General features: G+C 55.8%; 1 protein-coding gene across 9 annotated transcripts in view, besides 7 other annotated features; it reads left to right on the top strand.

Moving 5' to 3' along the window:
* The window catches only part of RFX1 (regulatory factor X1), a 45,287-nt gene that overhangs the window by 1,827 nt on the left and 16,662 nt on the right, over window positions 1-26,798 (top strand). For 2 of the 9 annotated variants that reach the window (XM_047439192.1, XM_011528166.3), the window contains exons 2-9: window positions 6,673-6,872; window positions 11,095-11,465; window positions 21,395-21,504; window positions 21,720-21,803; window positions 22,762-22,869; window positions 24,301-24,417; window positions 25,448-25,543; window positions 25,911-26,240. In XM_047439192.1, coding sequence (XP_047295148.1) covers window positions 11,147-11,465; window positions 21,395-21,504; window positions 21,720-21,803; window positions 22,762-22,869; window positions 24,301-24,417; window positions 25,448-25,543; window positions 25,911-26,240 — 1,164 coding nt within the window. In that variant the 5' untranslated portion in view covers window positions 6,673-6,872; window positions 11,095-11,146. The remainder of the gene's footprint in view (window positions 1-6,672; window positions 6,873-11,094; window positions 11,466-21,394; window positions 21,505-21,719; window positions 21,804-22,761; window positions 22,870-24,300; window positions 24,418-25,447; window positions 25,544-25,910; window positions 26,241-26,798) is intronic. The other 7 variants (XM_047439195.1, XM_047439193.1, XM_011528170.3 and 4 more) reach the window with 4 other exon arrangements.
* Window positions 17,076-17,966: an enhancer, noted in NCBI's record as "H3K27ac-H3K4me1 hESC enhancer chr19:14097836-14098726 (GRCh37/hg19 assembly coordinates)". NCBI's record gives its function as "activates a minimal SCP1, AML or CMV promoter by ChIP-STARR-seq in naive H9 embryonic stem cells {active_cell/tissue: H9 hESC(naive)}" and the evidence as "EXISTENCE:reporter gene assay evidence [ECO:0000049][PMID:30033119]".
* Window positions 18,782-18,831: an enhancer, noted in NCBI's record as "active region_14151". NCBI's record gives its function as "activates an Ori minimal core promoter by ATAC-STARR-seq in GM12878 lymphoblastoid cells {active_cell/tissue: GM12878}" and the evidence as "EXISTENCE:reporter gene assay evidence [ECO:0000049][PMID:35858748]".
* Window positions 18,858-19,749: an enhancer, noted in NCBI's record as "NANOG-H3K27ac-H3K4me1 hESC enhancer chr19:14096053-14096944 (GRCh37/hg19 assembly coordinates)". NCBI's record gives its function as "activates a minimal SCP1, AML or CMV promoter by ChIP-STARR-seq in naive and primed H9 embryonic stem cells {active_cell/tissue: H9 hESC(naive and primed)}" and the evidence as "EXISTENCE:reporter gene assay evidence [ECO:0000049][PMID:30033119]".
* Window positions 21,508-22,034: an enhancer, noted in NCBI's record as "H3K27ac-H3K4me1 hESC enhancer chr19:14093768-14094294 (GRCh37/hg19 assembly coordinates)". NCBI's record gives its function as "activates a minimal SCP1, AML or CMV promoter by ChIP-STARR-seq in naive and primed H9 embryonic stem cells {active_cell/tissue: H9 hESC(naive and primed)}" and the evidence as "EXISTENCE:reporter gene assay evidence [ECO:0000049][PMID:30033119]".
* Window positions 23,911-24,436: an enhancer, noted in NCBI's record as "H3K4me1 hESC enhancer chr19:14091366-14091891 (GRCh37/hg19 assembly coordinates)". NCBI's record gives its function as "activates a minimal SCP1, AML or CMV promoter by ChIP-STARR-seq in naive H9 embryonic stem cells {active_cell/tissue: H9 hESC(naive)}" and the evidence as "EXISTENCE:reporter gene assay evidence [ECO:0000049][PMID:30033119]".
* Window positions 24,437-24,963: an enhancer, noted in NCBI's record as "H3K4me1 hESC enhancer chr19:14090839-14091365 (GRCh37/hg19 assembly coordinates)". NCBI's record gives its function as "activates a minimal SCP1, AML or CMV promoter by ChIP-STARR-seq in primed H9 embryonic stem cells {active_cell/tissue: H9 hESC(primed)}" and the evidence as "EXISTENCE:reporter gene assay evidence [ECO:0000049][PMID:30033119]".
* Window positions 24,964-25,490: an enhancer, noted in NCBI's record as "H3K4me1 hESC enhancer chr19:14090312-14090838 (GRCh37/hg19 assembly coordinates)". NCBI's record gives its function as "activates a minimal SCP1, AML or CMV promoter by ChIP-STARR-seq in naive and primed H9 embryonic stem cells {active_cell/tissue: H9 hESC(naive and primed)}" and the evidence as "EXISTENCE:reporter gene assay evidence [ECO:0000049][PMID:30033119]".

Genomic DNA, 26,798 nt, shown 5'->3' with positions numbered 1-26,798 from the left:
CATGTCACTGACAAGGTCCCAGCCTCTAGGGCCACGTGGGCAGGAGCGGTCAGAGGGAAGGGGAAGCTATCCATGTTTGTGAGAGGAGAATCTTTGCCACTGCTTTTTAGGGTGACAATATCCTGCCAGCTCGGGGAGGAATTTTTTTTTTAAGTAGCCAGCCAGGCCAAGTCTAGTTGGCTTATTCTCCGTCTTGCTTTTGAGCTTAGTGTCGGTGTGCAAACTGCAGCCATTTCCTTTTAAATCAGTCAATACATTCCAAGGAAAAGGATCATTTCAGGCTTTTTCCCAAGAGTTTGAGATTGGTCTGGTGGGGGTTGGCGGGTCCTAACTTCTCCAGGTACTTTTTCTAGGCCTGGCCCTTTTTAGAGGAGGCAGGGACTCTTTGAAAGTTAGGACAGGTGGAGATTAATTTTCAGTAAAACAAACAAAAAAGCTAGAAATGCCAAGTTGCTAGACGGATCATCAGCACTTTTTTTTTTGGAGACGGAGTCTCACTCTGTGGCCAGGCTGGAGTGCAGTGGCTTGATTTTGGCTCACTGCAGCCTCCGCCTCCCGGGTACAAGTGATTCTCCTGCCTCAGTCTCCTGAGTCGCTGGGACTACAGGCGCTCGCCATCATGCCCGGCTGATTTTCGTATTTTTAGTAGAGACGGGGTTTCACCATGTTGGTCAGGATGGTCTTGATCTCTTGACCTCGAGATTTACCTGCCTCGGCCTCCCAAAATGCTGGGATTACAGGCGTGAGCCACCGCGCCCGGCTAGCCCTTCTTAAAAAAGCTAACTGAGCAGGCTGGGCGTGGTGGCTCACACCTGTAATCCCAGCACTTTGGGAGGCTGAGGTGGGCGGATCACCTGAGGTCAGGAGTTTGAGACTAGCCCGGCCAACATGGTGAAACCCTGTTTCTAAAAAAATTAGCCAGGCGTGGTGGCACATGCCTGTAATCCCAGCTACTCGGGAGGCTGAGACACAAGAATTGCTTGAGCCTGGGAGGCGGAGGTTGCAGTGAGCTGAGATCACAGGCCACTGCACTCCAGCCTGGGCAACAGAGTGAGACTTGTCTCAAAAAAAAAAAAGCTAACTGAGCAGAAAGTGATGTTACCAATTATCTGGTCATGTTGACTGCCTCAGTCACCAGTTACATTTACAGATGAAGGGCCTGAGGAGTCATTTGACTAGGAAGAGAACACTAGGGTGATTTGAAGCTGACTTGAAACAGTCAGCTTTTCTAGCTGTGTGCTCTTAGGTGAGTTACTTAAGTTTTCTGGGCCTCAGTTTCCCTTCCTTTCATCTAGGGGCAGTAATCCTTGGTAGTCCTTTCAATCTCATGTTTCTGTGCTATGGATCCCAGAAAATAATACCTGTTGAATATCAAATACATAGGAATTGCTGAAACTAACTAAATACAAAGTAATTGCTAATGTAGTTATGTTAGCCTCTGCTGTTACGGTGATTGTCGCTTCCTGTTCAACCCTCGGAAATACACCGTTGGCTTTTATTTTTATCATTTTGAATCCAGTGAGAGCCCTCGTGGCTTTAAAGGTTGACTTGCTTCTCGCTTGCTGGGCTGTGTGGGTCGATGACAGGGATCCAGGAAGCTGGATACCAGGGATCCAGTTTGTAGTGGGAAAGTCACTCCCCTGGCTGCTGAATGGCTGTTCTCTGGCTTTAGGAGAGTCACTAGAAAGAAAAATCCTGGCCGGGCACAGTGGCTCAATTTGGGTGCTCACTCCCCCAGCACTTTGAGAGGCCAAGGTGGGTGGATCACTTGAGGTAAAGAGTTGGAGACCAGCCTGGCCAACACGGTGAAACCCTATCTCTACTAAAAATACAAAAAGTAGCCGGGCATGGTAGCACATGACTGTAGTAGTCCCAGCTATTTAGGAGGCTGAGGCAGGAGAATCCCTTGAACCGTGGAGATGGAAGTTGCAGTGAGCCAAGATCGTGCCACTGCACTTGAGCCTGGGTGACAGAGCAAGACTGTCTCAAAACACACACACAAAATGCTACTTGGGCTCAGGCCCAGACACAGTCCCAAGCCTTCCAGGAGGCAGCTGGGTGAGCGGGGATGTGGACATTGTGGGAACGGTGGGGAGCTTGGAATGGCGTCTCTGGAGCCGAGGTCCTCACCCTTCTCCTCTGTCATGTACCTGAGCATCTCAGGGAAGGGGATGGCCAGGCTGCCCCGCCCGCAGAGATGCTGCCTTCAATAGCAGCTGTACAGGACGTGGTCTTCCTAGGCGAGAAAGACTTTCTCCCACCTGCTTCCCAGGCCTGTTCTGGACCAGAAGGCATTGCCTGGCTCTGTAGCACAAGCAGGCTTGTGGCAGGAAGTAACTTTCTCACACGGTCTCAGCAGTTGATAGACTGGAACCTGCCTTTGATGCTCACTAGCAGTGTGTTCTGGTGCATCATTTATGCTGCCTGGACAGTAAGAGTCAAAACCCCCACTATTTGCCTGTCAGTTTTCTTTTCTTTTTTCTTTCTTTCTTTCTTTTTTTTGTTGAGACAGAGTCCTACTCTGTCGCCCAGGATGGAGTGCAGTGGCGTGATCTCAGCTCACCGCAACCTCCACCTCCCCAGTTCAAGCAATTCTCCTGCTTCAGCCTCCCGAGTAGCTGGGATTACAGATGCCTGCCACCATGCCTGGCTAATTTTTTTTTTTTTTTTTTTTTGAGACAGAGTCTCACTCTGTCATCCAGGCTGGAGTGCAGTGGCACGATCTTGGCTCACTGCAACATCCACCTCCTGGGTTCAAGCAGTTCTCTTGCCTCAGCCATCCGAGTACCTGGGAATACAGATGCCCGCCACCATGACCGGCTCATTTTTGTTTTGTTTCGGTTTGGTTTATTTGAGACGGAGTGTCTCTCTTGTTGCCCAGGCTGGAATGCAATGGCGCAATCTTGGCTCACCGCAACCTCCACCTCCCAGGTTCAAGAGATTCTCCTGCCTCAGCCTCCCGAGTAGCTGGGATTACAGGCACCCACCACCATGCCCGGCTAATTTTTGTATTTTTAGTAGAGACAGGGTTTCACCATGTTGGCCAGGCTGGTGTCGAACTCCTGACCTCAGGTGATCCACACGCTTTGGCCTCCCAAAGTGCTGGAACTATAGGTGTGAGCCACCGCAGCAGCCTAATTTCTGTATTTTTAGTAGAGACAGGGTTTCACCATGTTGGCCAGGCTAGACTTGAAATTCTGACTTCAGGCGATCTGCCCGCCTCAGCCTCCCAAAATATTGGGATTACAGGCGTGAGCCACTGCTCCCGGCCTTGCCTGTCAGTTTTCTAGGAGCTGAGACAGAGACCAGGCCCACCAGGTCTCTGCCTGTGGGGCCCTTACCTTTCCAGTCAGGGAGGGAAGAGGAACTAGGAGGAAGAAAATAAATCCAGCCAGACTCAGTGGCTTATGCTTGTAATCCCAGCACTTCGGGAGGCTGAGACATGAGGATCACTTAAGCCCAGGAGTTTGAGACCAGCCTGGGCAACATAGCGAGACCCCATCTCTTAAAAAGATTTAAAAATTAGCCAGGTGTCGTGGCACAGGCCTGCGTTCCCATATACTGTGGAGGCTGAGGCCGGAGGATCACTTGAGCCCAGGAATTCAAGGTTACAGTGAGCTGTGATTGTGCCACTGTGCTCCAGCCTGGGCAACAGAGTGAGACCTTGTCTCTAAGAAACGAAAAAGAAAGAAAATAAACTCAACAGGGAAACACAGTGTCAGGAAGCAAATAAAATAGTAGTATGTGCTTGAGGGTACCTTCAGACCCAAGGAAGTGTGTACGAGCTGAGACCTGAATAAGGAGGAGAAGCCAGCCGTGAAGGTGGCGGTGGGGACAGCATGCCAGGTGGGAGGAAGAGGTGGGGCCGAGGCCATGAGAGGCAGGAATGGATCTGCAGCATTTTTTTGTTTTGTTTTGTTTTTTGTTTTTTTTGTTTTTGCAGAGAGGCTCACTGCAACCTCTGCCTCCTGGGTTCAAGCAATTCTACCTCAGCCTCCCGAGTAGCTGGGATTACAGGCACACGCCATCACGCCCACCTAATTTTTAAAATTTTTTTGTCGAGATGGAGTCTCGGCTATGCTGCTAAGACTGGTCTCAAACTTCTGGCCTCAAGCAATCTTCCTGCCCTGGGCTCTCAAAGTGCTGAGATTACAGGCGTGAGCCGCCATGCCTGTCCAGGATATATTTTAAAGAGACAGGGTCTTGTTCTGTTGCCCAGACTGGAGTGTGGCGGTGTGATCATAGCTCACTGAAGCCTGGAACTCCTGGGCTCAAGTGATTCTCCCACCCCAGCCTCCCGAGCAGCTGGGACTTCAGGTGTCGGGTACTATGCCTAGCTGATTTTTTCACTTTTTTATAGAGATAAGGCGTCACTTTGTTGCTTAGGCTGGTCTTGAACTCCTGGGCTCAAGTGATCCTCCAATCTTGGACTCCCAAAGTGGTGGGATTATAGATGTGAGCACTGCGCCCAGTCATTAGGAGATGTGTGCGAGTGTGTGTGTGTGTATGTGTATGTGTATGTGTGTGTTTGTATGCATGCAGTGGCACAATCTCAGCTCACTGCAACCTCTGCCCCGCCAGACTCAAGCGATCCTCCTGCCTAAGCCTCCTGAGTAGCTGGGATTACAGCCACACACCACCACACCCAGCTAATTTTTGTATTTTTAGTAGAGACGGGGTTTCGCCATGTTGGCTAGACTGGCTTCAAACTCCTGACCTCAAATGATCCGCCCGCCTCAGCCTTCCAAAGTGCTGGGATCACAGGCATAAGCCACCACGCCCGGCCTCTAGGATATATTTTGGAGGAGTAATTGACAAATCTTCTAAATGAATTGGATATAGAGGATGAGAGAAACACACATCATCCCATTTAATTTTGCCATTCTTCTGCAAGTTCATTATTGAAGCCATTCTATAGATGAAGAGAGTGAGTTTTCTTTCTATATCTTTGGGAGGGCCTTGCTGAGGATGTAAACCATTTGATTAGAGAATCTGGCATCCAAAACAGGGGTCAGGCCAGTCGCGGTGGCTCATGCCTGTAATCCCAGCACTTTGGGAGGCCAAGGTGGGAGGATCACCTGAGGTCAGGAGTTCGAGACCAGCCTGGCTAACATGGTGAAACCCCATCTGTACTAAAAATACAAAAGCTAGCCAGGCATGGTGGTGGGCACCTGTAATCCCAGCTCCTCAGGAGGCTGAGACAGGAGAATCACTTGAACCCGGGAGGCAGAGGTTGCAGTGAGCAGAGACTGTGCCATTGCACTCCAGCCTGGGCAACGAAAGAGAAACTTTGCCTCAAAAACAAAAAAAAACAAAAAAAAAACACAGGGTTCAACAAACTATGGCCTGCTGCCTGTTTTTGGCTGGTGAGCTAAGAATGATTTTTACATTTTTAAATTATTGGAAATATCAACACCGGAATTATATTTCATGATATGTGAAAATTACATGAAGTTCAAATCTCAGTGTCTAGAAATAAAGTTTTATTCGCACACAGCCTGCTCATTTGTTTACCTATTGTGCATGGCCACTTTCACATTACAGTGGCAGAGTTGAACAGCTGCTGCAGAGACTAGCCACAAAACTAATAACGTTTACTGCTTGGCCCTTACAGAACTTTGCCGAGCCCTCATTTAAAGTAATAGATTTAAACAGTCTCCATAAGCAGCTGCTGGCTTTGAAGGTAGGTGCAGCCACTAGTGCTTTTCTTGGCAGATTCATTGCCAAGGAACAGTTTGTTAAGTAATTCCCTTGTTTTGTGTGCCAGGCTCCATAAAGAAAGGGTTCTCACGCTCAAATATATGGGCAATACCTCATGCTATGTATGTATATGTGATTTATTTCTCTCTAGGGAACAAACCTGTATAATTGCTTAATGTAGTCTCCTTAAAAGGTAGAAAAGGGCTCTTTGGTCAAATAATTGTAGGAAAAAGATTGACAATCACAGTGCTGAGAAGGCCTCCAATAGAGAAGTTGGTTTAGTTGTTCCTCGATCTCCCACCTCCTCCTTTTGAGCTCAGCCTTTTAGAAATTAATCATTGCCTCCTCTTCTTGCCCCTGAGTGGAAGGGATGAGGCCCATGGGCTTTGTATCCCTAGGAGGAGAAAGAGCCAGTAAGTGAGGAGCTTTTAAAGCCCTTTCTTTGTGGGAGGGGCCACAAGGGGCCAGGTCTCTTAGGGCTGAGAAAGCCAAGGCCAGCATTTCTCAGAGTGCTGTCAGGACTGTCTGCCTCAGAATCATCTAAGGGACCAGCTAAAACAGACTCTGGGGCCATTTCAGACTCACTGGGCAGTAGAGCTCAGGAATCTGCATGATGTTGCTGACGAAAGCTTAGGTTGGATTTCCTCTTGGTGTCCCCTCCCAAGAGCTTGAAGATCCTGTCTCCTTCCTCCTCTGTCCCAACCTGGCTTGGATATTTGTTGAATGAATAATAACACCTGCCACTTATCAGTGTTTATTGGGTGCTGAGCTGATCTCATTGGATTTTTTTTTTTTCTTGAGACAGAGTCTTGCTCTGTCACCCAGTCACCCAGGCTGGATTGCAGTGGTGTGATCTCTGCTCACTGCACCCTCTGCCTCCTGGGTTCAAGTGATTCTTCTGCCTCAGCCTCCCGAATAGGTGGGGCTACAGGCACACGCCACCATACCTGGCCAATTTTTGTATTTTTATAGAGACGGGGTTTCGCCATGTTGGCCAGACTGGTCTCGAACTCCTGACCTCAGCTGATCCACCTGCCTAGGCCTCACAAAGTGCTGGAATTATAGGTGTGAGCCACCGTGCCCGGCCTGATCTCATTGGATCTTTGCAGCAATTTGATGAATTGGGTGTTCTCGTTATCCCCAGGTGACAGGCAACTGAGGCCCAGAAGAAGGTTGGTAATATGTTAATGAGTTAAGACATAGCGCCAGGGTTCATGTGGGTGAGGGTCTGACACCAGACAGATGAAGGGTCGTCGGCTACAGTGACTTGAGTACCCGAGCTGGGCCAGATTTGGACCCGATGGTGTGAGGAACCTCCACCCCTCTAATGCTGGCAGAAAGGAGTTTGGGGAGGGCAGGGGCTGGAGGAGGATGGTCTTCGCCTTGTTCAAGGCAGGCAGCAGCCTTTTCCCTCTCACGGTGGGCAAGTTTCTCTGCTGCCCGAGTCCCTGGGCCTCGGAGCACTAAGGCTGGCCACCTGCTAGGTGGGAAGGCCCCAAACGGCTTCTCATCCTGCCTGCCTCCACTCCTACCAGAATGACCTCACCTGGCAGGGAGGGTGGCCCCAGGGCCCTGTCAGCTCTGTTCCTGCCAGCCAGGAGGGTCCTGGAGTCCCTCCCAAGCCTGCCGCAAGCCCAGAGGGCACATCCAAGAGGCAAGTGTAAGCTCCTGTTTCCTTCATCCTCAGCAGCACAAAGCTCTGGAGGCTGGAAGGCAGCAGGCAGGGCCAGAAGGTATTTTCATCTTTCCTGGAACTGCGTTAAAGGGCCCTGGGCAGTGAAGGAGCCAGAGCCATTTCCTGCGTGCTTACAGCATGCCAGGTGCCTGGCCACACACTGCCCACAGGATCAGCTTGAACCCTCAGCAGCCCCGCCTGGTAGGGCCAGCCGTCCTCCCATTTCACAGATGGAGCCGTAGGGGCTCTCCTCAAAAGTCACACAGTTAGGAGATAGCCAAATTCAAATCGTGGTGCATCCATCCCCGTCCAGGGCTCGTTTCTTACCTACCTTGCCCCCCTGCTAACTCGGACACCTCTTGAGTTTGGCATCCAAGAGCAGAACCTGGATCCCGGGGGAGGGAGGCACAGGGAGGCGTGAAGGATGGGAACCAGCCTCCCCTGGGCTGCTTGGGCCGGCTTCCCCCTTGCCAGTTCTGCTGCCCTTAACTGCGGCCTTGGGCAGGGGGCGTAACCTTTGCAGGTGACGCTTGGGTCTCCCTGTTGGAAGACCGGCAAGATGCCGTGTACTTACTTTAAGAAGCAAATGAAGGTTGGGCGCGGTGGCTCACGCCTGTAATCCTAGCACTTTGGGAGGCCGAGGTGGGCGGATTACTTGAGGTCAGGAGTTCAAGACCTGCCCAACCAACATGGTGAAACCCTGTCTCCACTAAAAACACGAAAATTAGCTGGATGTGGTAGTAGGCTCCTGTAGTCGCAGCTACTCGGGAGGCTGAGGCAGGAGAATCACTTGAACCCGTGGGGGCAGAGGTTGCAGTGAGCCAAGATCGTGCCACTGCACTCCAGCCTGGATGACAGAGTGATACTCCATCTCAAAAAAAAAAAAAAAAAAAAAAGCAAATGAGCCCTGTGCCTGGCATCCTAAGTAGGGTTGGGGACTGACAGAATGTATCTGGGGGTCAGAGAGACCTGGGTTCAATCCCCCCTCACCAGTTGCTCGAGGCTTTCAGCAGCCTACCCCTCAGCCTCGCTCAGCTCATCTGTAAAATGGGCATGATGATGCCTCCCTCATACGACTGCCAGGAGGAGGTGACCTCAGTGGAGGGGTCTGGGGGCTCCTGGTCAACCAACAGCAGTTGTTTTTTACCTCCTCCTTCCTTTGAGGGTCACCCTGCGGCTGGAGGGCCATCTGGGCACATCGTGGCACATGGGTGCTGAGTGTTAGTGCAGAAGAGGCTCTGGTCCAGTTGCTAGCCAGGAGGCAGTACTGCCCGGAGTCATGGCCAGCTGCAGGCAGGGCTCTCAGACCCAAATGCCTTCTGGGGCCAGGCAGGAGCCACAAAAGCACGGATCTGGAGCCTTTCCTCTTAACCACTCGTGCCTCTGTCCCACTGTCCCTCAAATGCTTTGGACCTGGGGATAGGGCTTATGAGTACAAGGGTCCCCAAACCATCTGCCGATCCCCTGCTACAGTGGGGCTGAGCCGGAGGGAGGCCATGCCCAGCCCAGCACCTGGGAGAGGAACACACCCTTTAACAGCCAGGCCTGCCCTGTTCTTTCCTTTTGTTTTGTTTTGCTCTGAGACAGGGTGTTGCTGTGTCACTGAGGCTGGAGTGCAGTGGAACAATCTCGGCTCACAGCTCTCTGCAACCTCTGCCTCCTGGGTTCAAGCAATTCTCCCACCTCAGCCTCCTGAGTAGCTGGGATTACAGGTGCGCGCCACCACTCCCGTTTAATTTTTTTTTTTTTTTTTTTTTTTTTTTGGAGACAGAGTGTCACTTTGTTGCCCAAGCTGGAATGCAGTGACAAGATCTCGGCTCATTGCAACCTCCGCCTCCCAGGTTCAAGTGATTCTCCTGCCTCATCCTCCTAAGTAGCTGGGATTACAGGCATGTGCCACCATGCCCAGCTGATTTTTGTACTTTTAGTAGAGACTGGGTTTCGCCATGTTGACCAGGCTGGTCTTGAGTGCCTGACTTCAGGTGATCCAGCCACCCTGGTCTCCCAAAGTGTTGGGATTACAGGCGTGAGCCACTGCGCTTGGCCAAGGCCGGCCCTGTTCTGAAGTCAGCCGCAGCTGCCAGGTTCTCAGTGCAGCCTGGGCCTGCTCCCAGCCCTGTCACCCCTGGCCACAGAAGGGCACTGTCCCACTGATGAGCTTACATCTGGTGTCAAGACCCATAACTGCTCCCAGACAGAGGGCCCAAAAAGCCCCTGTGGCCCCATGCAGCTCACAGGGGCTTTTTGGACTCAAAACACCTTCCCACTGGGAATGCTACTCAGCCGAGAATCCCAAGTCCAGATGGCAGGCACGTAGGGAACTGGCACGGGTCCCTGGGAGGCAGCTTTCCCCATGACTCTGCTTTCCGGCAATAAACTGACGAGTCAGGAGCATAGAACACCCAGAGTTCAAATGCAGCCCTGCCACCACTTCCCCGCTGTGTGGCCTGGGGCAAGCACCTTAACCTCTCTGAGCCTCAGCTCCCTATCTAGCAGACAGAACCCAAACCCAGACATGGTTGTTGGAAAGTTTAAAATGAAATAGGCCGGGCGTGGTGGCTCACACCTAGAATCCCAGCACTTTTTGGGAGGCTAAGGCAGGAGGATTGCTTGAGCCCAGGAGTTCAAGACCAGACTGGGCATGATAATGAGACTCCCATCTCTGAAAAAAATGATTATATATATATATATATATATATATATATATATATATATATATATGTATGTATATTTCAATATACATATACAATATATATACATGTGTACATATATGTATACAGTGTATATGTGTGTGTATATATATACTATATATGTATATATATGTACATGTAGATTTCAATATATAAGTAAAAAAATACACACACACACACACACACACACACACACACACACACATATATATTTAGACAGAGTCTTGGGTCTCCCAGGCTGGAGTACAGTGGTGCAATCTTGGCTTACTGCCACCTCCGCCTCCCAGGTTCAAGTGATTCTCCTGCCTCAGCCTCCTGAGTAGCTGGGACTACAGGCATGCACCACCACGCCCAGCAAATTTTGTATTTTTAGTAGAGACGGGGTTTCACCATGTTGGCCAGGCTGGTCTCGAACTCCTGACCTCAAGTGATCCGCTCACCTCGGCCTCCCAAAGTGCTGGAATTGCAGGCATGAGCCACTGTGCCCGGCCTAATAGACATTTTAAAAAGATGAACTAACATAGGGAAAGTGCCCAGCCCTGTGCCTGGCCTACAAGAGCCCTCAGGAAGTGCCCACTTGGGGTCCTCAGCTAAGGAGATGGAGGCAAGGGAGGGGGCAGCCCCTGGTAGTTGAGAGTGACCCAGTGAGAACCGTACCATTTTTCTCTGGGTGAGGGCACAGAGCAACCACACAGGCCCAAGTTCCCCCGCAGTGTGGGGAAATGCGATCCTATGTGGATGTGGGGGTCTCTGGGTACCAGGGACTGGGAAGGCAGGAGTCCTGGCTTGGGGTGAGTGGGGGTGCGGAGTGGGGCTCCAGCCCTGGTCTACAGCTGGTCCCCCTGCAGTGACGGGTTGGATATTTCTGGCCACCAGCCTGGGGATTTAATTAAGTTAGTGATGAACCCAAGCACATCTCCAGGGAACCCAGAGCTGTCCCTGCTTTCTCTGCCTGTGGATTAATTCCTGTTTTTCCTTCTTTTGTTTTGTTTTGTTTTTCTCTCCCCCATCCCCGTCTTTCTTCCCAAGGAATTAAAAAAAAAAAAAAGCCTTATTTATTATCATTTTCCCCACCGTTGGCATGGCAACACAGGCGTATACTGAGCTACAGGCAGCCCCGCCACCATCCCAGCCGCCACAGGCCCCGCCACAAGCCCAGCCCCAGCCGCCACCGCCACCACCCCCAGCGGCACCCCAGCCCCCGCAGCCACCCACCGCTGCTGCCACCCCTCAGCCCCAATATGTCACCGAGCTGCAGAGCCCCCAGCCCCAGGCACAGCCACCGGGTGGCCAGAAGCAGTACGTGACGGAGCTCCCGGCTGTACCCGCACCCTCGCAGCCAACCGGTGCACCCACCCCTTCGCCTGCACCCCAGCAGTACATCGTGGTCACTGTCTCTGGTAAGTGCCGCGCTCGTGTGTCCTGAAAACTCCTCTCAGAGTTGTTCAGATAGCCTAGACCCTGGGTGTGAAGGCACAGGGCTGCCATGCCCCCCAAGGTTTCTGGATGGGACTTGGGGTATCACTAGGGCAGGGGTGCTTAAGCCATGCAAGGAGGCCTCTGTCCCCCCAAACTCCTTCCCACCAGAGCAGCTCTTAGAGCTTCTTTTTTTGGTTTTATTTTATTTTTTGAGACAGAGTCTCATTCTGTTGCCCAGGCTGGAGTGCAGTGGCACAATCACAGCTCACAGCAGCCTCAACCCTCCAGGCTCAAGCAATCCTTCCACCTCAGCCTCCCAAGTAGCTGAGACCACAGGTGCCCACCACCATGCCTGGCTAATTTTTAAAATTTTTTGTAGCTATGGGATCTTCCCATGTTGCTCAGGCAGGTCTCAAACTCCTGGCCTCAAATGATCCTCCCGGCCTCAAATGATCCTCCCACCTCGGTCTCCTGAGTTGCTGAGACCACAGGTGTGCAGCTGTGCCCAGCTAATTTTTTTGTTTTTTTGTATTTTTTGTAGAGATGAGGTCTCGCCATATTGCCTAGGCTGGTCTCAAACTCCTGGACTCAAGCGATCCTCCTGCCATAGCCTCCCAAAGTGCTGGGAATACAGGCATGAGTCACCATGCTCAGCCTCTTAGAGCTGTTCTGACCTCTCTTTGCAAATAAGATGTCACTGGAAGAAGGGTTTGGGCAGTGGCATCAAAGTTTGCATGCACCTGTGGGAGACAGAGGCCTGGCCTGGCTACACACCAGTCTTTTGGCCTCCCTGCTCTGGTTTCCTCATTTGTGATGGGATCATCATAGCTCCTCTCTCTCAGGGGACGCATGCGAGGGTCTCATAGCCAGGATGGCCTTGAGTGGGCACTTCAGGGAGGTCAGCTGGGGGTGAGGGCCTGGACATGTCACCTCCCCTTCCTAGAGCAGCCGCCCTGTTGTTTTGGGCAGGATCCAGGGACTGGCCCTTTTCTTTATTTTTGCTTTTCTTTCTCATGACATAAGCTAAGGCACGCAGGACCTGTGTTGAGAGCAGGCCATCTTGGACAGACCTGTTGCCCTCTGAGCATTTCCCACAGTAAACATAGTGACGATGTTTTGACTGGTTTAGGGTCTGCCTGAGGGCTGGGTCTCTGTCTCGACTGACTCAGTGCTCTGGTGGGAATGGCAGCACAGCCTGGGCATTAGGCTAGATTCGTGTGTTTTTTTGGTTTAGAGATGGGGTCTTGCTATGCTGTCCAGACTGACCTCGAACTCCTGGGCTCAAGTGATTCTCCTGCCTCAGCCTTGTAGGTAGCTGGGACTACAGGCGCCTGCCACTGTGCACAGCTAGTGTGTTTTTAATGTGCTCTGTGGTGGACGGAGGCCTCAGTGGGAGCCCGGATCAAAGCTGGCCCTGGTCCTTCTCAGAGTGGGAATGGAAGGGGTGAGATCATCAGGGCATCCTGAGGGGCTGTGGAAGGGGTGGGTCAAGATGGGATTGGGGACCATCAGGTCATAAAGAGTCATCAAAACATGTAGCAATTGGCCGGGTGTGGTGGCTCACACCTATAACCCCAGCACTTTGGGAGGCCGAGGCAGGTGGATCACTTGAGGTCAGGAGTTCGAGACCAGCCTGGCCAACATGGTGAGACCCCATCTATACTAAAAATATAAAAATTAGCTGGGCGTGGTGGCGCGAACCTGTAATGCCAGCTACTCAGGAAGCTGAGGCAGGAAAAATCACTTGAACCCGGAGGCAGAGGTTGCAGTGAGCTGAGATCGTGCCACTGCGCTCCAGCCTGGGTAACGGAGCGAGAATCCATCTCAAAAAAAAAGTAATGAAAAGTGTAGCAATTGGCCCCGTTGTGGAACAAAGCAGATGGGGCTGGAGCCCTGGGCAGTGTCCCAGAGGCTTCTGGCAGTGTCTGCGTGGGAGGTCCAGGGTCTCTGGCAGAGGTTTGGGGCGGGAACATGCAGGGACTCAGGGCAGTGACTCTTTACTATATGGACGGAGTGGAGGTGTCCGCATGAGCGCCACACTTAGTGCCCCCCCGCCTGTGTAGACACAGCCCTGCCCTGGTTGAGGTCGGGCTGCAGTCATGGGCAGGGTCTTCAGGCCACAAACCTCTGGTGGGTTCTCAGCACCCCTCAGAAATCCTGCAGCATTTCCTTAACAGTGAACTTCATGCTCCAAGAAACCCATTCTCCCTCTGCCCCACCTTCACCTCCATCACCTTTGTCTTATACTATGATCCTGGTCCCTGACCCTGCAGGCAACCTTACTGGGGACAGAGTACCATCAGGCAGCCACAGGGACCCCTTCTCCTGCCCAGCTCCTGGGGTGCATCTGCACCCACCACCTTTGCCTTCTTGGATTAAGCAGCACCACCCATATCCAGAACACGCTCCTGCCATTGCTCCTTCTAGTTCCTTCTGCATCACTTAATCCCCCTCTTGCAGATCTTCCCATCCACCCATCAAGGTGGAACAGCACCCATTTTGTTTATTTTTTATGTATTTATTTTTTGAGACAGGGTCTTGCTCTGTCGCCCAGGCTGGAGTGCAATGGTGCAATCATGGCTCACTGTAACCTCCAACTCCTGGGCTCAGTGATACTCTCACAGCCTCCCAAGTAGCTGGGACTATAGGCATGTGCCACCACACCCAGGTAATTTTTTTTTTTTTCTTTGAGACAAAGTCTCGCTCTGACACCCAGGCTGGAGTGCAGTGGCAGGATCTCGGCTCACTGCAAGCTCTGCCTCCGGGGTTCACACCATTCTCCTGCCTCAGCCTCCCAAGTAGCTGGGACTATAGGTGCCCGCCACCATGCCTGGCTAATTTTTTGTATTTTTAGTAGAGACGGGGTTTCACTGTGTTAGCCAGGATGGTCTTGATCTCCTGACCTCGTGATCCACCCGCCTCGGCCTCCAAAAGTGCTGGGATTACAGGCGTGAGCCACCGCGCCCGGCCTAATCTTTTAATTTTTTTGTAGAGACAGAGTCTCACTATGTTGCCCAGGCTGGTCTTGAACTCCTGGCCTCAAACAATTCTCCCACTTCAGCCTCCCAAAGTGCTGGAATTACAAGTGTGAGCCACCGCGCCCAGCCAAGCCCCCATTTTCTCCAGGAACCTCCAGCTGCTGGACCCCCTGCAGCTGGCCCCCTTTTTCCCAAAGATCCCCTCTTGTGAGGCCTCCAGGAGCCCACACTGCCCTGGTCTCCGCCCACCGCCCGCAGCCCCTCCGTGGTCCTCTCTGCTGCTTCTCCCCATCTCCCTGACCTTGTCAGCAAAGGACGGGGAGCCCCAGACTCAGACCTGGGAACCTCTCTTAGCTCCTGTAGTTCTCCCTTAACGATGGCCTCATCCTGTGTCCCAGCTCTCATTACCCACACTGAGGTCTCCAGCCTGGGCTGCAACCCTGAACCGCAGGACCCCACATCCAGCCCCTCCTGACTCATCCACTTGGTGTTGAATTTGATGCAGGCCAGTGCAGCCACATTGAATTCTGCATTTTTCCCTCTTCAAATCTCTCCTTCAAGGCTTTCTCATCCTCCCAGGCCCACGGTCAGTCTTGTTTCTGTCCTACTCCTCCTTGAGTAAGACCTCTCGGCTCCACCTCCTAAACTCTTCCAGAACCCCCCCCGCCTCTTCCACTTCTATGACCCCAATCCTGGTCGAGCCTCCGCCCTCACAGTCTGACCCCTCCCAGCAGCCAGAGGGAGCAGGTTCACAACTGTCCATTAGGTCCCGTCACATCCTAGCTCAACCCTGATGGCTCCAAGCCAGGTGGTTCCATGGGCACTCTTTGAGAAACCCCAGCCTAGGCTTTCTCAGCTCTGGGAGAGCAGGCTCCTTCCCCTCCCCCGATACCTGACAAAAAAGGACTTTAAAAGCTACACACACAGACACACACTCTCTTTCTCTCTGTCTGTCTGTCTGTCTGTCTGTCTGTCTCTCTCTCTCTCTCTCTAAGCTGGGTGTGGTGGTGGGCGCCGTAATCCCAGCTACTTGGGAGGCTGAGGCAGGAGAATCGCTTGAACCCAGGAGGTGGAGGTTGCAGTGAGCCAAGACTGCACCATTGCACTCCAGCCTGGGCAACAAGAGTGAAACTCCGTCTCAAAAACAAAAAAACAAAAACAAAATGCAAAAATGCTCCACACACCCTGTGCCCCTACTAGCAAATGTCAAGCCCCTTCAACTCTGGCCTGCCAGCCTCCCAGCCTCGCCCACTTCCACCCATCCCCTCACATACCTGGTCCAGCCCCTCTTGCCTTCCTACAGCTCCACAAACCCGCCAGGCTCAGTCCTGCCTCCTGACCTTTGCACTCTCGGTACCCTCTGCCAGGAGCACTCCCTGCCCCAGACCCTCTGGGAGCTTGCCTCTTGTCTCCCTTAGGTCGCTGCTCAGACACTACCTTTCTGACTCCACACCTCCCTGCCCCTACCCCCATTGCTCACTCTCTGTCTTCTTGTTTGTTTGTTTTTGAGACAAAGTCTCGCTGTGTCACCCAGGCCGGATGCAGTGGTGCGATCTCAGTTCACTGCAACCTCTGCCTCCTGGGTTCAAGCGATTCTCCTGCCTCAGCCTCCCGAGTAGCTGGGATTACAGGGGCGCACCACCACACCAGGGTAATTTTTGTATTTTTTGGTAGAGATGGCGTTTTGCCATGTTGGCCAGGCTGGTCTCAAACTTCTTACCTCAAGTAATCTGCCTGCCTCGGCCTCCCAAAGTGCTGGGATTATAGGTGTGAGCCACTGCGCCCCGCTGGTCTTCTTAACACTTAACACTACTTGAAGTTACAATAATGGGATGGTGGGGGTGCCCACCTGCAGGCAGGGCTCTGTCAGTGCTCAGTCTCTGTGGAATGACTGAGGAGCACCAGCCTGACCCAGAACAGCCTAGAGGAGCACCTAGCACAGCCATCATGTCCCATCAGCTCCTGCATGGCTGACTGTTTGCAGGAGGCCTCGCATGTCACCAGTGGATGGCTCTGCTTGGCGCCCAGAGTGTCTGATGGGTCCTGATCCACGCCCTGGGTGTGGGTCTTACCTGCTTCAGGGTCCAGGCTCCCTAGAGCCAGGGTCTGGAGTGGGCACACAGCTCCAGGCTCCACCACTCCCCAAGTCCTTCCACTCTTGACCTTGGCTTCTCCAGCTCTTCCCGCACTCCCTCAGGGGGGCCCTGGTGCTTCAAAGTCAAGACCAAGTCCCCGCACTTTGGGAGGCTGAGGCAGGCGGATCACCTGAGGTCAGGAGTTCAAGACCAGCCTGGCCAACATGATGAAACCCCGTCTCTAATAAAAATACAAAAATTAGCCCGGCGTGTTGGCGTGTGCCTGTAGCACCAGCTACTGGGGAGGCTGGGGCAGGAGAATCGCTCGAACCTGGGAGGTGGAGGTTGCAGTGAGTCGAGATCATGTCATTGCGCTCCAGCCTGAGTAACAGAGCAAGACTCTGTCTCAAAAAAAAAAAAAAAAAAAAGAGCAAGAAGTCAAGAGCAAGTCAAGAGCAAGGCATGGTCTTTGGGTCAGACAGAGCTAGGCCGGACTCTAAGTAGCTGTTAGGCATGGGGAGGTGGCCTCTGTCTCCCCCATCTTGGTAGTGTTCCCAGGAGGGTACTCTGTACCCATGAGGGCAGGCTGTAGCAACCCTGCTGTCCACAGAACTCTCTGGGGCTCACTTTGGTCAGGCGGTAGCTTAGTCGCCTTTCACAGTGGTCCCAGGGAATTTCATTTCCCTGCCACTCCACATTCTGGCAGGTGCCAGCCTGTCCCCAGAAGGGTCACTGGGCAATGCTTCCTGGATTTGTTCTGAGGAAGAGGAGGTTGGCTTGTGCCCTGCCAGCTGTCCCCTCCCCCACCCCTTGCAGTAACTCCCCAGCCTTCCTCCCTGACCCTCTGCCAGGTTAGCGTCCTTCCTCATCTAAGGGTGGCCGGGGCCACGTGAGCGCCGGGGAAGCAGGAGTAACTGACACCAGTGAAGGCTGCCACAAGGCACCTAGGACTTCTCCCAAGCCAGGAGCAATCGGAGCTGACCAGGGACCCAGGGAGGTGGCAGGGAAGAGGAAGGGAGGGGCCTGGACCCAGACTTGGAGCCTGGGGCTGGACACCAGCCGACACCAAACCAGACACAGCTCACCCAGCCCCGGTCCCTGCCTGCCCTGCCTAAAGGTGACTTTGGAGGTGGTAGGAAGGAAGATCAAGTTTCCCTGGTCAGGAACAATACTAGATCCATAAATCCCTGTCCTCAGAGGCCATCAGACTCTCCCAGAACCCAAGGCGGAAGGAGAGTGCTGTGGGCTCTGGCAGCCACTCCTGGGAAGGTGAAACCGAGCCGGCCTGCAGGGAACAGGGGCCGCCCCGAAGGAGGGGCCGAGTCCGGCCCTTCTTCCCTGCTTCTCTCTCACTTGGAGTTCTAGGGGGGCCAAGAAGACTTGTGTCCAGACAGAGAAGTGGAGTGTGTTTGTCAGCATTCCCAAGCACAGATGGGGAAACTGAGGTTGGAGCAGACAAGGGATAGAGGACACTGGGGGCAGCAGGGGCCCCTCCAGGAGCCCCTGACTGACATCATCCCAGGGAGCCCAGGGGCAGGAGGCAGAGGGTCAGGTGGCCCCATCTGTCTATGGGGAAGGGGGCCAGGCCCCCAGGGTGGATGCCAGGAGTCCAGCCTCTAGGGCCTCCCCTGGGCTCCCCCAAGTAGCTCATTTAAGGTTTGAGTAGGTCTAGATGGGGAAGTGCGGGGCCCGGGGAGGATGGGTGCCCACTTGTCAGAGTCATTCCACTGCTCAGAGATGTTAATGTGTCAGATTCAGAGACAGGAAATCGGCCGCCGTTTCCTGAGACAGTGGGGGCCTCCCTGGCCTCCTGCGCATGCCCAGAGTGGCGATCTCCGGCAGATAGATGCAGACGCTCGCTCGCAGACTCAGTGCCACCCCCCACTTCCCCTCCTGGCTTCTCCTCCCTGAAACACAGCGAGGGCCAGACCCAGTGGTGGAGGGGCCCTGCCCCGGCCGCAGGCAGACAGGGATGGCTGCACAGGAAGCCCTCATCCGCATGAGTCACTCAGGCTCACCTGTTAGCCTCGTGGCGCATCCCCTGGCGCCCTCCTGGGCTGGCAGGCGGGGTCCCAGCCTTGAGGGCTACCCCAGAGGCAGGAGACGGGCAAGGCTGCTTCCTGGAGACAGCCACCTGGTCTCAGCAGGTCCCCAGGCCTCCTCCTGCTGTAGGTCCTGCTCAGCGACCAGCCCCTGAGCCCTGGAGAGGGTGGGGGGCCAGCCCCCCACTCCCTGCCCACCTTGAGCTTCCTGGGTGAGACACCATCCCTTAGGCTGGGCCTGAGTCCTTGGACCCCACGGACCCAGGTGTGCAGTGCCGGTCACATGACTCGGGGCTGTCTCGGGTTTCTCCCAGGAGGGGCCCTCTCAGCAAGGGCCTCCTCCCTTATGGCTCAGGGCTGGGAAGCCTAAAGCAGATGCCAGGGAAGATTCCAGCAAAACACAGGGATTAGGGCCTGTGGAATTGGCTGCACAGGTAGCTGGTCAGGCAGGCATGGGATTGACCAAATGCCCCACAGCCCACATGCGGCTACGCGGAGGCCTCCCCCAACACCTCCCACATCTGGCAACCCCCGCCCCCAACACACACTCCTGCGCTCTGCCCTTGACTTGGCCTTTGCATCTGCCCTGAATAGCCCTCCTGCCCTGTCCAGGCCCCTCTCCCTCCTGTGCCCTGCCTGGACAGCCGAGACCCAGTCTGGATACTTCAGACTTTGAGGGGTCCCCGTAGACCCCCAGCTTACTTTCCTTCCTGTGCCCATATACCCAAGTTCACACATCACTGCCCTTGGGGCGCAGCCCAGGCAGAACCAGTGACTCCGGTTCCATATGTGGTATGAGGTTCGTGTGGGCCCAGAGGGGAACCTGCGTCATGGCCTGCACGGTGGATGGTGCATTTGACCTTGGACAGATCACTTCCTTGCTTCTGGTCTCTGTTGCCTTGTCTGAAAATGGGTAATAAAAGCTCTTACTGTCAGCCAGGTGCAGTGGCTCATGCCTGTAATCCCAGCACTTTGAGAGACCGAGGCGGGCGGATCACTTGAAGCCAGGAGTTCAAGAGCAGCCTGGCCAACATGGCAAAACCCCGTCTCTACTAAAACCACAAAAATTAGCTGGGCGTGGTGGCGGGTGCCTGCAGTCCTAGCTACTCAGTGGGTTGAGGCAGGAGAATCACTTGAACCGGGAGGCGGAGATTTCAGTGAGCAGAGATTGCGCCACTGCACTCCAGCCTGGGCAACTGTGAGACCCTGTCTCAAAAAAAAAAAAAAATCCCGGAAAGCTCTTACTGTCAGCCAGGCACAGTGGCTCACGCCGGTAATTCCGGCACTTCGGGAGATGGAAGCAGGTGGATTGCTTGAGTCCAAGAGTTCGAGACCAGCCTGGGCAATATAGCAAGACCCCAGTCCCTATTAAAAATACAAAAATTAGCCGGACATGGTGGTGCATGCGTGTAGTCCCAGCTACTTGGGAGGCTGAGGCAGGATAATTGCTTGAACCCCAGGGGACAGAGGTTGCAGTGAGCCAAGATCGTGCTACTGCACTCCAGCCTGGGTGACAGAGCGAAACCCTGTCTCAAAAAAACAAAAAAGCTCTATCTCTGGCTGTCCAGAGTCTAACATAACACCTAGTGTGCCAGAAGCAACACTAGTGTCTGCAGTGATAACTCCTTGCCCGTGGCCCTTCAGTCCTGCCGGGGGTCGGATAAACCCCTCTAAATCCCCAAGAAAGGTGGGCCTGGGACCTTGGCTCCTTGATGGTGGAGGAAGGGCAGGTACATGTCCACCCCCAGCCCCACCTCGGCCTCTGGAGCTGCTGGGGGTATGCCAGGTCACATGGAGGGGATGGGATGGATGGTGTCCCAGCTGGGGTGAGGGTCTTCTAGCCAGCGCCTCTTGGGAACACTCGCCTCTACCCCCAGCACCCCTGCTAATCACTCAGCAAGATGTGCATGAAATTTGACCTGTGCCTGCCTGATAGCATCTCCGGGTACCAACCTCCCTCCTCACCCCGCAGCGCTGCCCCAGCCCCGCGAAGGCCCCGCTTTGCTGGGGAGGGGAGTGTTTTTCCAAGAGGGCAGGCAGGCTCTCTGCATCCACCGGGGGGATTAGCGCCCCAAGGTCGTGGGTATAAAGCCACCTGCACACCCTGCTGTTCTATAGAGGCAGGCAAGGAGCAAAGAGGGCCAGGCAGGCCCCCCTGGACGGACAGGCGGACGGGGTGGGGGGCGGGTGGGGTGGGGGAGGGGATGAGCACCATGTTCTATGATTGTCTCTTCTCAGCTGCCTGTCAGCGTGAGTACCTGCCTCCCCCACTCCAAGCCCCTTGTGGTCCCCACCCCACTGAGGACAGAGGGGCAGGGAGGGAGGACTTGGCCACAGGCTAGCAAGACCTTCCAGGGACCACTCCTCCGAGCAGCTTCCACTCCCGGGAAGCCAGGGTCACCCCAGAGAAGGTGGCCCCAGCACCTCGATCCTTCCAGCGCTGCCAGGACCCTGGAGTGGACAGTCAGTTCCCTGCCTGTCCACAAGTCCCGTCTGCTGGGAAGGGTCCAGCCTTCTGGGTTTTGAGCATCATAGCTCTTCAGTCACCCTATCTGGTCTGACTTCAGGATGAGGAAAGCTGATGAGGGCTGCTGCCAGGTATTAAGGATCCTGGGTCCTGCAAGCCTCAGCCCGCTCTGCCACGTGGGCCCCTGATGGGTGCAGTCAGGGCTGGCCAGGGGGAAGCAGGACTCTTGGAGGGGCCTGACCTTGCTGGGGGTTGGCTTCAGGCTGCATCTTCCCCTCCAGGGGGGCTCAGGCTTAGGCTGGGGGCAGGGAAAGCAGGAAGAACTGACCTGGTGGCCCCTCCCCACAGAAGGTGCCATGCGGGCCAGCGAGACAGTGTCGGAGGCCAGCCCCGGCTCCACCGCCAGCCAGACCGGCGTTCCTACTCAGGTGGTTCAGCAGGTGCAGGGCACCCAGCAGGTAGGATGTGGCCCTCCCAGGGGGTGGGGGAGGGCCCGGGAGGGGGGCAGTGCAGGCTGCGTCCTCGGGGGCCTCACCTCCCCTCCCCGCTTCCTGCTGGAGCCATCTGCTCACCTGTTCTTATCAAGATGTGCACAGCAGCCGCCCGCCACCCAACCACGCCAGGCCTCCCTGGGGGAAGTGGCAGCTCAGCTCCTCCTGCCTTGTCTCCACAGCGGCTGCTGGTCCAGACGAGCGTGCAGGCCAAGCCAGGCCACGTGTCGCCCCTCCAGCTGACCAACATCCAAGTGCCCCAGCAGGTAATGCTGCTGCACCTGGCCACCACCCTGGAAGGCTCCCTCAGGGTGGAGGACCAACCCCCTGTGGCAAGCCTGGATCTGTCCTCACCAGGATGGAGGGAAGAGTCCCCATCCAGGGGCTGCCCTACCTCCTGGCTCTGGGCAGTCACCTCCCCAGGGTGAGACTATCCGGCAGGGGCCATCAGGGACAGAGGAGCTGCAGGAGCCATCTCAGCAGAGAGAACAAGATGTATAGTTGGGAAGGTGGTTTGCGGGTCCAACCCAGTGTCCCGAAGCAGAGAACCCAAGGCCAGGTTTAGAGTCAGGAGTCCACAGCCAGCACAGGGTGGTCTGTCCCCCAGAAGGCTGCGCATGAGGTGCCGCGCACACCCGTTTCCGACTGATCAGCGCAGATCTGGACAAAGTACTGTTGGGTTTTACAATGGCTCGATCTCGGCTCACTGCAACCTCCGCCTCCCAGGGTCAAGTGATTCTCCTGCCTCAGCCTCCTGAGTAGCTGAGACTACAGGTGTGCACCACCACACCTGGCTAATTTTTGTATTATTAGTAGAAACAAGATTTCACCATGTCGGCCAGGCTGGTCTCGAACTCCTGACCTCAGGTGATCTGCCCGCCTCAGTCTCCCAAAGTGCTGGGATTACAGGTGTGAGCCACCACACCCAGCCTAGGACTATTGGGTTTTAAGGATGACAGCACATTCCACATGGCCTGACAACAACTCCGGCTCTGCCGCTTCCTGGCTTTAGGACCTCAGATAAGTGCCTTTGCCGTCCTGAGCCTTGGTGTCACCCTCTGTGAAGTGGGGGCAGTAGCCGAGCTTCATCAGGGCTGTCAGGGCGATTCTGTGAGCTAACAGGCGTGAAGCACTTAGAATGTCACCTGGCACTGCGCAGATGCTCGGTGCAACTGCACGGGCTGTCATCAGTGATCTGCCCTCCCTCTCCCTCCCTGGCCCCAGGCTCTTCCCACGCAGCGTCTGGTGGTGCAGAGCGCAGCCCCAGGCAGCAAAGGTGGCCAGGTCTCCCTGACGGTCCATGGTACCCAGCAGGTGCACTCGCCCCCAGAGGTAAGTGGTGGTCCTGTTGGCCGCCCTCCCCCCTGCTGTCTCCCGAGGTCAGCAATGTATCCCCATAGTATATTTGGGGCTCCCTGCCCCGCCCCCCAAGCCCACTTGCTCCTCCAAAGTCCTGCTTCCCTCTTCACTCCCAGTGCAACGCCCTTGTTGACCCCAGGTAGGGTGGCTTAGCTGCCCAATTCCTGGCCCTGCCAGCTCTGAGCTAAGCGGCCGTGGAGCTCTGCTCTGGGAGAAGGAGGTGATTTCCTGGGTTGAGATGGTCCTGGCAGCTCCAGCTCAGGGAACTGCATTCCGAGAAACAAAGTGGGTTCCTCTTCCCCCCGGAGGGTGGGACAGTCTCTTCCAGGAAGCCTTGGACCACAGGGTAGATTCTGGGGACCCACAACACCAATGAGGGTGTTGAAGACAGGCTGTGGATGCTGTCTGCATCAGGAGCTCGGGGTCAGATGGCTGGCCCAGCCACTTCCTCTCGTGGGACTCTAGGCAGGCCTCTGAGCCTTGTTTTGTTTTGTTTTTGAGACAGAATCTCGCTCTGTCCCCCAGGCTGGAGTGAAGTGGTGCGATCTCAGCTCACTGCAACCTCCGACTCCTGGGTTCAAGCGATTCTCCTGTCTCAGCCTCCCGAGTAGCTGGGATTAGAGACATGCGCCACCACGCCCTGCTAATTTTTGTATTTTTAGTAGAGATGGGGTTTCACCATGTTGGCCAGGCTGGTCTTGAACTCCTGACCTCAGGTGATCTGCCCACCTCAGCCTTCCAAAGTGCTGGGATTACAGGCGTGAGCCACCATGCCCGGCCCCTTTGAGCCTTCTGAGCCCTGAGTTTTCTCTGTGTCAAACAACTGATGGTATCAACCACCCCTCAGCTTGCTGTGGGAATTACAGCCTGAGGCACAGTAGGGCTCAGAGCAGACATGGGGCTCTATGGCCAGCCTGCCTGGGCTCAGCCCTGTGCCTCATCGCCTGCAGCCATGTGACCCAGGGCTTGTCCCTTCCCCTCTGCCCCTCCATTGGGAAGTGGGGGTGCCATGAGATTCCAGTGAGTACATTTAAAGCGCTCAGTGCAGTGTCTGGTGGGAGTCGGCCCAATATCACACCAGAGGCTGCTGTCGTCATTGCTATAACCTTTGAGGGTCAGCCCCAGGAGAGCTTCAGGGGTGCTGGCGGCACCACCCACCATCAGCCAACCTTGCTGGGGAGGGTTAAACCCCCATCATTGCTGGGAGTTGACTGGGACTGTTGCAGGGAGTAGGCATTTGGATGCGTGGGACGCGGTCAGTTACCAGCCTCGGTGGTTGGGATAGGTCCCCACAGACTGCCGCCCTCCCCAGACAGCTCTCCTGAGAAGGGTGTGTGTGTGAGCCCACCTCAGAGAGGATGCAAGCCCACCCCAGCGGCACTCCTGTGTCTCCTTCCCTTACAGCAGTCGCCGGTGCAGGCCAACAGCTCTTCCAGCAAGACAGCCGGGGCCCCCACGGGCACAGTGCCACAGCAGCTGCAGGTCCACGGCGTCCAGCAGAGTGTCCCCGTCACCCAAGAGGTGCCAGGCCAAGGCGGGCAGTGGCTCGGTCCAGGGGTACCGGCCAGGCAGCCTCTGCAGCCCCCCACGGCTGTGCCTCTGGCCTATTAGAGCCCAGCCCATGTGGGTCCAGCCCCAGCCTGCCACCCTGGCCTTTGATAAGCATCTCTGCCTGTCTCCAGACTCAGCATCCTGGGGCTAGAGGATGGGGGAGCCGCGGGGAGGACGAAATTTGAACCTCCTGGAAGGAGACTGGGGCGTAGTGGGCCATGGGAACCGCTTGGAGAAGCCACCTGAGCCTCTTTGGGCCCATTTGCCTGAAGGAAGCCCCGAGGCCACATCCTGGCTCCTTCTGGGGAGGATTTCAGGGAGGGGACCCAGCCCCCAAATCCACACCCAGCCTCTGCAGGAGGCAGAGCCCTGAGCCGGCGCAGGTTAAGATGCTGGGGCTGCGCACCATCTGGTTGTTACCACTGAAGTTGAGGGGGTTCCAAGCCCCTTGAAAAAACAGATGAAATCCATAGACCCTTCCCCAAGTGTAAACAGAAACCCTGTCCCAGAGGTTTCACAGATACTCCCCCGCCTGGCACTAGAGCCCCCCCGAACCTCCAGACCTAGGTCCAGGCCCCAGCTCCTCCACTCAGCACCCTCCTCCGCCAGCCTCCGTCCCTGGCTCTGCGCCCCTAGGATAATCCCCGCATGCCCGCCACAGCACAGAACAGGGCACACAGTTGACATTGGGGGGTGTGGGGACGAAAGATAACCCAAGGCCTTGCCTGCGGGTTCTTGGCACAGCTTCAGGGGCCCGTAGGGAGAGGGGGCGGAGAGCAGAGACCCCGAAGTTAGTCCCAGGTTCAACTCAGCCCTGCTGCTTCCTGGGAGCCTCACTTTATCAGTAATGGATCCAGCACCCTCCTTGCTTGGCTGGAGAATGGTGGCCTCTTGCTTATGGGTCTGCTGTGAGCTTTACAGAAGCTCACCTGTGCAGGGGCTGGGTAGGTTGACGGCCATCGTTGCCATGGTCATCTTATTGTTGCCTTTCCCCTCCCAGAGATCTGTGGTCCAGGCCACTCCACAAGCGCCCAAACCCGGCCCGGTGCAGCCGCTGACCGTGCAGGGCCTCCAGCCAGTCCACGTGGCTCAAGAGGTGTGTGTCTCCCCCTCCTACCCCACGGGCAAAGGGGCTGGTCCCGGGCTGGGGCTGGGGAGTGCAGGCCCCTGAGGCCGCAGGGAGGGAAATGCCTCTGTGAGCTGCAGACACTGCCCTACATCCTTCCCCTTTCCCGGCCCCCTGGCAGCTCAGGGTCCAGGTTTTGCTAAGAGAGATCTGGATTCAAACCCCTCTTCTTTCTTGCGTGGCCCTGGGTCAGTTCTAACCCCTCTCCGAGACCCCGGGCGGCGGGGATCTTCCCTCGGGTGGCTGCGTGCGCGCTCAGCAACCCGGTGGGTGGAGGCCTGGAGCCCCGCCCGCGGCCGCCCCCGTTGACCCCCCAGTGTCTCTGTTTGTCCTCCAGAGCTCAGGCAGTCAGTTTCCCGCTAGGAAGGCAGAGCAGCGAGATCCCCGGCCCACGCCGCCGCCGGAGCCGCCGCCCCGGCCGCCCGCGTGCAGCGGCGAGGCCCCGCAGCTAGGCAGCCCCGAGCCGCCGCCGCCCCATTACGAGCCGGGCGCCGAGCAGTGGGTGGAGCTGGTGGGCGTGCTGCCCCCACACCTGCTCCTGCCGCAGCAGAAAGTGGTCTTCGAGCCACTGTCCCGGCTCCCGGCCCGAGCCAGCCCCGACCAGAGGGTCAGGATCCAGAGAATCCCCCAGGTGCTAGTGTTCGGCACGGCCGCCACGGCCCTCAAAGTAGGTGGCGGACGCACGGGCGGGGGGCAGCGGGCGGGCGGGGGCGGGGGCGCCCAGTCTGGGCCGCCCACCAGGCCCCGCAAGCCCTGTAGACCCCACCTCCGCCCGACGGGTCGGTCTAGGGACCCGCCTCTGACTCCCCACCCAAGCCCCGTCCAGGTCCCAGCTCCGCCCCTGCAGACAAGGGTGGGGGATGGAGGTGGGGGACTCAGGCCCCGCCCCTAAGGCCCTGTCAGTGATTCCAGGTTCTGTCCCACCAACCGGGGCCCCAGGCTCCGCCCCTCACATCCTGTGCCCGGTTTCCAGGCCCCACCCCTGAGGCCCTTTCTGTAGCTCCATGGCTCCAGCGATAGCCTTGCCCCTGTGCCTGGGGTCCAACCTTCACGCCCACTACAGGACCCTGTCTCGGGTCCCCTCCACTGTCCGTCAGGCCCCACCCTTGCTGGCCCCAGCCGAAGCCGAGAGTCCTGGCTTCTCCTGACACAGCTCTTCCTGATTCCCAGCCCTGGCCTCCTCCAGGGTGTTTTGTTGAGAGTCCAGAAGCCACCCTTGGGTCCG

Source organism: Homo sapiens, chromosome 19, assembly GCF_000001405.40.
Source record: "Homo sapiens chromosome 19, GRCh38.p14 Primary Assembly".
Taxonomy (NCBI): Eukaryota; Metazoa; Chordata; class Mammalia; order Primates; family Hominidae; genus Homo; species Homo sapiens.
Note: the sequence above shows the minus strand (reverse complement) of the source record. Positions and strands in the feature narration are given on the sequence as shown.